The sequence below is a fragment of the Homo sapiens genome, chromosome 21 (genome assembly GCF_000001405.40).
Source record: "Homo sapiens chromosome 21, GRCh38.p14 Primary Assembly".
Lineage (NCBI taxonomy): Eukaryota > Metazoa > Chordata > Mammalia > Primates > Hominidae > Homo > Homo sapiens.
Genome location: NC_000021.9, coordinates 30,535,676 through 30,545,060, shown reverse-complemented (window position 1 = coordinate 30,545,060; position 9,385 = coordinate 30,535,676). Strand labels below are relative to the sequence as shown.

Sequence of the window (9,385 nt, the reverse complement as noted above, 5' to 3'; positions counted from 1 at the left end):
GAGGTCGGGAGTTGGAGACCAGCCTGACCAACATGGAGAAACCCTGTCTCTACTAAAAATCCAAAATTAGCCAGGTGTGATGGCGCAGGCCTGTAATCCCAGCTACTTGGGAGGCTGAGGCAGGAGAATCGCTTGAACCCGGGGGGTGGAGGTTGCAGTGAGCCGAGATCGCGCCATTGCACTCCATCCTGGGCAACAAGAGCCAAACTCCATCTCAAACAAAAAAAGGGGGGATGGAGGAACTGAGAGTTTTTTCTCTAATATCTGGAACATGAGGAGGGTGACCACTTTGACCATATTTATTCATAGTACTGGAAGTGCTAAACAGAACAGTGAGACAAGAGAATGAAATAAAGTACATCCAAATTAGAAAAGAAGAAGTCAAATGTCATTGTTTGCAGATGATGTAATTTGACATTTAAAAACACCTAAAGATTCAGTCAAAATTATTAGAACTGATAAACAATTCAGTAAATTTGCAGGATATAAAATCAACATACACAAATCAGTAGCATTTCTATATGCCAACAGTGAACAATGTGAAAAAGAAATTTAAAAAGTAATCCCTTTTACAATAGTGACATGTAAATTTAAACACTTAGAAATTAGTGCAACCAAATAAGTAAAAAACGTCTACAATGAAACTATAAAATGCTGATGAAAAAATTAAGAGGACACAAAAAATGGAAAAAATATTCCATGTTCATGGATTGGATCAATATTGTTAAAATGTTCATACTACCCAAAGTGCTCTAAAGATTCAATGCAATCTTATTAAAATACCAAAGACACTCTTAACAGAAATAGAAAAAAAAATTCTAAAATTTTTAAGGAGCCAAAGAAGACACAGAACAACCAAAGTTATCTTGAGGAAAAAGAACAAAACGAAGGATCACATTACCTTCAAATTATATTACAGAGCGATAGTAACCAGTAACAGCACGGTACTGTAATAAAAACAGACACATAGACCAACGGAACAGAAGAGAGAACCCAAAAACAAGTTCAGACACCTACTCATTTTTGACAAAAGTGCCAAAAACATACACATGGGAAAAGACAGTCTCTTCAATAAATAGTGCTGGGAAAACTGTACATTCATGTGCAGAAGAATGAAACTAGTCCCCTATCTCTCCCCATATACAAAAATCAAATCAAAATGAATTAAAGACTTAAATAAAAGTAAACTATGAAACTGCTATAAGAAAACATTGGGGAAACTCTCTAGGGCATTGGTCTCAGCAAAAATTCCTTGAGTAAGATTCCACAAGCACAGGCCACCAAAGCAAAAATGGACACATAGGATTACATCACGTTAAAAAGCTTCTGCACAGCAAAGGAAGCAATCAACAAAATGAAGAGACAACCCACAGAATGGAAGAAAATATTTGTAAACTATGCATCTGACAAGGGATTAATAACCAGAATATATAAGGAGCTCAAACAAATCTGTACGGAAAAAAAAAATCTAATAATCTGATTAGAAATGGACAAAAGAACCAAATAGATGTTTTGGAATCCTCATTCGCTATTAGTGGGGATGGAAATTAGTACAACCACTATGGAGAACAGTTTGGAGGTTTCTCAAAAAACAAAGAATGAAGCTACCATATGACACAGAAATCCCACTGCTGGTGCTAAACTCATCTTTAGCATCAAACCTAATCTCTAGTCCCTGACACCATGAGCTACTACAGCAGCTACTATGGAGGCCTGGTATACATCCAAAGGAAGGGAAAACAGTATATCAAAGAGATATGTGCACTCCCATGTTTGTTGCAGCACTGTTCATAATAGCAAAGATTTGGAAGCAACCTAATTTTCCACCAACAGATGAATGGATAAAGAAAATGTGGTATGTATACACAATGGAGTACTAGTCAACCATAAAAAATAATGAGATCCTGTCATTTGCAACAGAATGGATGGAACTGGTCGTCATTATGCTAAGTGAAATAAGTCAGGCACAGAAAAACAAACTTTGTATGTTCTCACTTATTTGTGGGAGCTAAAAATTGAAAACAATTGAACTCATGGAGATAGAGACTAGAAGGATGGTTAACAGAGAATGGAAAGGGGAGTAGGTGGGTGCAGGGTAGGGGTGGGGAGGGATGTGAGTGATGGAGGAGTAGGGGTGGTTAATGGGTACAAAGGAATAGAAATGATGAATAAGACCTAGTATTTGATAGCACAAAAGTGTGGCCATACTAAGTTATACTCTCTTAGTTATTTTAAAATGTATAATTAAATTGCATTTAAATTAAATTATTGATTTAATCGAACATTTTAAAATAAGAGAGTGTAATTGAATTGCTTTAACACAAAGGATAAATGCTTGAGGGGATGGATACCCTATTTATCATTTACCAGTGATTATTACTCCATTAACCAGTGATTAGTATGCATTGTCATGTCTGTATAAAAGTATTTCATATACCCCATAGATATATATACTCTACTATGTATTCTTAAAAATAAAATTTGAAAAAAGAAAAATAATATTTAATGGAACTTCATGGGAAAAGTGTATGCAGAGGAAAAGGTACACTTTTGAAGTTAATGGATGAATAAAAAATTGGGAAGAAGCCTAACAAAAAATTGGCAGAGGAAGCTAATTGAAGGTTTCTCATAGAAATTAAGGCAAGAAAGCTTTACAAAAGAATGAATGGATGGAAGGTTAGCAATGTCAAAGGTCAATTAAAGTTCAAATGAGTCAAAAACCAAGGTTTCCTCTAAATTTGACTACTGGAAATCACTAATGACTTTGTGACTATGCCCTGACTACCATGAAGAGAAGTCCTTGGGTTCTGGGAATGAAGTAACCAAGACGATGGACTGCAAATTAAAAAGAAAAGCAATATGAGGTTATGTAATTACAGCGTTACTGGAAGCTATCAACCCGATTAGACCATTTTAATTACAACACCAGCCTGGCCTTTGAAGTGGCTATAATCATTTTTCATCTTCAAAATATTTTGTTCTTAGGAATGCAAACTAAAGACTAAAAGTCTTTAAATAATAGTTTGGACCCTTTGTTACATAAGAAAAGAAAAAAAATAAACAATTGTTAGACTTAAAATTATTCTGTTATGTGGAAATAAGATCACCTGTCATTGTTGTTCATGACACCCACTACTTAGAGTATAAAATCATTCTGAGAAGTTAGAGACACCTACACTCAGGAAACTCATCATTAGCATTGAACTGAATCTCTAGTCCCTGACACCATGAGATACTATGGCAGCTACTACAGAGGCCTGGGATATGGCTGTGGAGGCTTTGGTGGTCTGGGCTATGGCTGTGGCTGTGGAGGCTACAGATATGGCTCTGGCTATGGAGGCTATAGATATGGCTGCTGCCGCCCATCATGCCGTGAAGGATATGGATTCTCTGGATTCTACTAAAAAACTTGCTGATTCTCATACTCTAACTCCAAGATCTTGCCCGTATGCTTCAGCAAGGCGAACACTTTTCTCAATGTAGAGAAAATACCTACCATTTTTTGGCTTCATGCTCCAGAAGGAACTAGCCATCAGTTTTTATGGAAGAATCTGGAATCATTACATTGAATCAGGGTTTCACCTATTATTATTTAGTCACTGACATCTGTTGTGACATGTATTTTAAAATAGTTTTAAATAAACACGTTTAACTTGAATAGCAAACATGGCTTTATCAATTCATTTTAGTACATTTCAAATGCATTGATGAGACTTCAATCAAGCTGTTTGTCTTCTTTCCTCTGAATTGGTGTTTTTATTTCAACAGTTTTGCCTCAATAATATATTTTATTCAACATATATTCATTGTGTGTCTCCAAATTTGGGCACCATTCTAAGTCCTGAAGATATAAAAGAATAAGATGGACAAAATCACTGTGTACTTTCATCTGTCTTTACTTTTTATCTGTTTTCAGTGGTTTTGTGTGTGATTTTGTTTTTAGAATATGATTATGTACACTATTATTTTTATGACTTAGTTTTAAACAATAACTTATTGCAATCTTCATTCCAATTAGTGTGTTTGTATTCTGAGGTTTATCTCAAAGCACAGTAATTCTATGTTAATCAATGAAAGCGAATTTTAAATAAAACATTGAGTTAATATAAATAATATTTGTAATAATACGTAAGGTCTAAAGAATGCTATCAAAGCTCGCATGTACCCAACACTGACTTATCAAATGTATAATGTCCTTTATGTATAATCAATTTTAAACTATTGAACATATGAGAATCTACTCTACCTCCTTGACAAGTTAAATTACTTGTCTTTCTGTGTTCCTACCTGTAGAGTTCAAGCCTTGCTTCCCAAAAGATATTATTTCTCAAAAGTAAACCTGAGGGATGTCTGAATTAAAAACACCGAGAGAGGCCGGGCACGCTGGCTCATGCTTGTAACCCCAGCACTTTGGGAGGCCGAGGCGGGTGGATCACCCAGGGTCAGGAGTTCGAGACCAGCCTGGTCAACATGGTGAAACCCCGTCTCTACTAAAAAAACAAAAATTGGCTGGGTGTGGTGGCACGTGCCTGTGGTCCCAGCTACTTGGGAGGCTGAGGTGGGAGAATCGCTTGAACCTGGGAGGCAGAAGTTGTAGTGGGCCGAGATTATGTCACTACACTCCAGCTTGGGTGACAGAATGAAACTCTGTTTAAAAAAAGAAAAAAGAAAAGAAAAGAAAAGAAAAAAAAAGAAAAGAAAAACCCCATGACAACATTTTTACCAATTTAATTTTTAATTTTCTGGAGGATAACTTAGATAATTAGTTTTCATTAGTTTTGCTATTGGTCTGCTGACTACTCGTCAAAATTTCCTTGAAAATAACTATTCTAGATAGTACTTAAGGTCTCTTAAATTTCTTAAATTTCAGTAATTCTTGACATACATTTCTACTCCTACCATCTTGCCAGTGAACAATGTTTTTGTAGTAGCTTTCAGGTACTTTCCACTCTATGTCATGTAAGAGTTAGCACAAGACGTTATAAACCTGGAAGATGATTTGGAGGAGATTTGATGTAAAAATAACATCTAAATACAAAATAATAAACTAAAATAGTACCATGTTCCTCTAGAGAGTTCATGTTATGTTTATTTCAAATAAGCGATTAATAATGATGGGAATGGTACTGTTCTGTTTATATGTTATTATTTTTTGTTGTTGTTTAACTGCCTTTTTTGCCTATAGGTATGGTCATTTGACAGCATTTTGGAAGCATCTGCCTAATGCTAATTATTCTTTCTAAACTTATTTTTAAAGTTTTATTTTTAATTGACAAATAGCTTTATATGTTTATGAGGGCACAGTGTTATATTTTGTTATATGTTTACATTGCGGAATGATTACACCAAGCTAACTCACAAATCTACTATCTAACATAGTTATTTTTTAGGGTGGTGAAAACATTTAAAATATACTCTCTGATACTTAATTTAACATATACACGCTTGCTAAAATAATTGAGTTGCAAGCAAAATTGCAAATTATGTAGTCTTAAAAAGTTAATTTATAGGATTGAAAATAAAACTGGCAAGTAAATTTCTCATTCATCAACCAGGCTTTATGCTACTGCTGCCTATTTTCTTTCAAGTACAAAGGTAGAGAAATCACCTTGAATAAAATATTATAAAATAAACAGCATATTCTCTAACCCTTTAGATATTGAAGAATGTATGTACTTTTTTAATCAATAGTTAAGTGTGTCAAATTATTGTGAAATAACATGGAAATTTCTTATTGAGAAAATTAGTTTGGAACAACAGCGAGTCATCCCAACTTTATTTTCTAGACTGGGGAAATAAAAAACAGACTTATTAGTGCCCATTTTAGTTAATGATTATAGATTGTAATATGATTATTAGTTTTTGTATGCGATTGTATGGGTTTTGCAGTCAGGATCTTTAGGTATCCCTTGCATTAATATGATGCCAAACACACAGCAGGTGTTCAATGAATATTTGTTAAAAGAAAAAGAAAACATCAATAACATAATAGAATATTGGGATTCAAGGAAGTTATTGATTAGGACTGATTGGGACCTTCAATGACAAAGTTAAAGTACAAGCTGAAAATGGGAAAAACACTGACAAATTGATTTTCAAACCATTTTTACAAACAAAAATATTTTAACTATTATATTTCTGTTTCATAAAAATTCACTTTTGATAGATTCTCTCTAGACACACTTAATTAACTGCAAAGCTATATAAGTCAAAAGCCTCAGTTATTTGCTAATATAACCTTAAAAAATCTCTTGGCCTTTTATAATCTATTATGAACTTTCATAATTCTACTTCCAAATTCTATTTTTATTCTATAGATGAAAAGCATATTTTTAAAATGAAGGAAATCATGTTTTCCAGCAAAAACTCAGAGGCTTGTTGATAAGACAAAGGATGATATACATGTTTTTATAAAACGACTCGTAGAGCTGGGGTTCCATCTGTAGAAAACCTGCAAAGAAAATCTACCTATTCTTAGTGACACTGAATCCTTTTCATTGATTTATATTTGCTTTCACTTAAAACATCCAATAGGTCACAGACAAGTAACACACAAGGATAAAATAACATACCATTCCAGTTACATTTTTCTAAGGAATCAGAAAAAGAGTCTTGTGTTAGAAAAAAAATTATTTTTCTTTGCAGATAATTTTGAAAACTCAGGGTCAGTGTCAAAAAGAGGAATTTTGTGAAACTCATATATCCCTGATATGAGTCAATTAAATATGGAAATTTAATGCTAAATTTAATTCTTTGAGAAGATGTTAATAAATTAAGTGTATTGTGAGCAAAAATAATACAATTTCTTTTTTTTTTGAGACAGAGTCTCACTCTGTCGCCCAGGCTAGAGTGCAGTGGCGCGATCTTGGCTCACTGCAAGCTCTGCCTCCCAGGTTCATGCCATTCTCCTGCCTCAGCCTCCCGAGTAGCTGGGACTACAGGAACCCACCACCATGCCCAGCTAACTTTTTGTATTTTTAGTAGAGACGAGGTTTCACCGTGTTAGTCAGGATGGTCTCGATCTCCTGACCTCGTGATCCGCCCGCCTGGGCCTCCCAAAGTATTGGGATTACAGGCGTGAGCCACCACACCTGGCCAAGAACACAATTTCTCAAGAAGAGAGTAGATATATAATGATGGCCACACTTTTAAAGAGCTCAATTTTGGTTAAAAACATGTTAAAAAAAACTTAGAGTAAACTGGAAAAGTGGCCTATTTTGGGATTTTGAACAAGTATCACCAGCTTGCTTTAGTTTTACTGGCAAATAAGCTGTAGTTTCTTATGATATTGCCTTCATTCAGTAAAGAGTGTATCAATTATTTTGAAGAGTAATGAGATGCTATGATGCCTGGCTAAAGAATTTTAGAGATGGCAGTCACCTCCTGTGTGCTCTTTGAAGATACCATAATCATTGTTGTCAACATAGACACAGTGCATTTTATTGGAATTTGGACAAATGGCCCTCAATTAGACGTCAAAAAGATTAACGAGATTGTCTTTTATGTCATTGAGGTCATGGATTAAGGATTATTCAAGTTTATTTTTGTTACCACACCCTTTTCTGAGGTATGCAAGAGTTCCTGGGCACATGATGTCATTTACACTTCCGAAACACAGCTTTATCGTCAAACAAAATCCCCACTCTTGATACCATGAGCTGCTACTACAACCAGGGCCTGGACTATGGCTATAGCTTGGACTATGGTCTGGCTATGGAGGCTATGCATATGGCTCTGACAGACATTATGCTATGGAGAATATGGATTCTCTGGATTCTATTGAAAAGGAAAAATTACCTTGGTGCTTTGGGACATTGGAATCTAGGTATCACCCTACTGTTAATTTTCTCAAGATCAACAACAGCACTTCATTCCATGACATGATTGCAGATTTCACAAATTGGGTCACTTCTGACATTTCTGTGCCAATTTTTAAGAAAGCTATTTTCTTTGAATGACAAAGTCCACTCCAAATTTATTTCATAATAATGTATACTAATTTTAACATTACCACACAGGCTGAATATTTTGCCTTAGAGATTATTCTTTTTGGGATGACCTTGTAAGAGGGCTTCGTGTTATATTTTTATTAAAGGTGTTTTCATTTGTTTAAAAAAATAATCCTTAAAAGTTATGTTCTCCTCTGGTTTTTAAAACATTTTTCCATGTATTTTGTAACAAAAAATCATCCTTATAGAAAAAAGTTATTTTTTTCTTAGTTATGCTGAGAAAGCTAACTTTTCTTTGCAGAGCCGATTAGAAAGCCTCTAATTATCACACCTGAGATGGCAAGGGAAGCTGAAGTAAACAAGAGTTCAGAAAGAAGGGAGGGTGCTGATTTGAAGAATTGTCCTAGACTATTTATATAGGATAGGATAACACGTTAAGTGTGTGATTTTTCTCTCCTTTTTCACAAGTCATAATAGAATATGGATTAAAAACGAGATATTTTGTTGTTCTTTATTTCTCTGAAGATTTATACATAGTTGGGTGAAGATTAATTGAACTAAAGAAAAACCAAAGACTAAAGGGAAACGCTGTACACGTGGTTTTGAGGTTAAGCTACCCTACAGTGAATGGTTTCCTAGAACTGAGCGTAGCACCTAATATGAGCTCAGTAAATATTTGTTAAATAAACTGAACTAGTGAAGAAAATGAGATAATTAAAATTTCTGACCTAATATTTTTCAAATATTTTGTAAGGTGCCTTATAGATTGATAGTTATTTTAATTTTTATAATACGCTCCAAAATAGGAACTAAAGTAAAAAGAGGTATTTTAAGTCCTCAAACTACTCCAAAAAGTAGTTAGAATAGTGGAGAAAATATAAATTTTTGGACACAAAAGTGATTGAGATTGTATTTTCTATTTACTGTTAACTGTGTGATATAAAACATGTTTGTTAATTTCACTGATATTTTCAAGATTACGCCTGATAATTTTATTTTATTTTTAAGAAATGTTGCGAAATAAACCTACTGTCCTCCACATATGTATGCAAATACATAAGTATTATACATCATGATGCGTGACACATAGCAGGTTATTGTATTAATTTCCTAGGGCCAACAAAGTTCCGTTAACAGGATAGCTTAAAACAAGAGAAATGTATTGTCTCGCAGTTCTGCAGGCTTAAAGTCTGGGATCAAAGTGTCTATAAGGGCCATACCCCCTCTGAAGCCAAGAGGAGAATTCTTCCTTGCCTCTTTCTAGCTTCTGGTGGTTTTCTGGGAATCTTTGGTACTTCCTGGTGTGCAGGTATATAACTTCAATCTCTGCCTTTGCGATTACATGGTGTTCTTGTACTTCTCTATGTCTTCTTCTCTCTTTGTTTGAGTTACCTTTTTTATGAGGACACCAGTCATATTGAATTAGGGCTCATTGT

General features: G+C 34.5%; 1 protein-coding gene and 1 pseudogene across 1 annotated transcript; both read left to right on the top strand.

Moving 5' to 3' along the window:
• The first annotated feature begins 3,196 nt into the window (after nt 1-3,196).
• Nucleotides 3,197-3,526, top strand: KRTAP19-6 (keratin associated protein 19-6). The gene has a single exon (NM_181612.3). It carries the CDS (start codon nt 3,228-3,230, stop codon nt 3,402-3,404), a length of 177 nt encoding a protein of 58 aa, NP_853643.1. The 5' UTR covers nt 3,197-3,227; the 3' UTR covers nt 3,405-3,526.
• On the top strand, nt 7,653-7,883 carry KRTAP19-11P (keratin associated protein 19-11, pseudogene; annotated as a pseudogene).

What these genes read in the sequence shown, in the direction of transcription:
- KRTAP19-6 (NM_181612.3), top strand. Translation starts at nt 3,228, where the DNA reads ATGAGATACTATGGCAGCTACTACAGAGGCCTGGGATATGGCTGTGGA.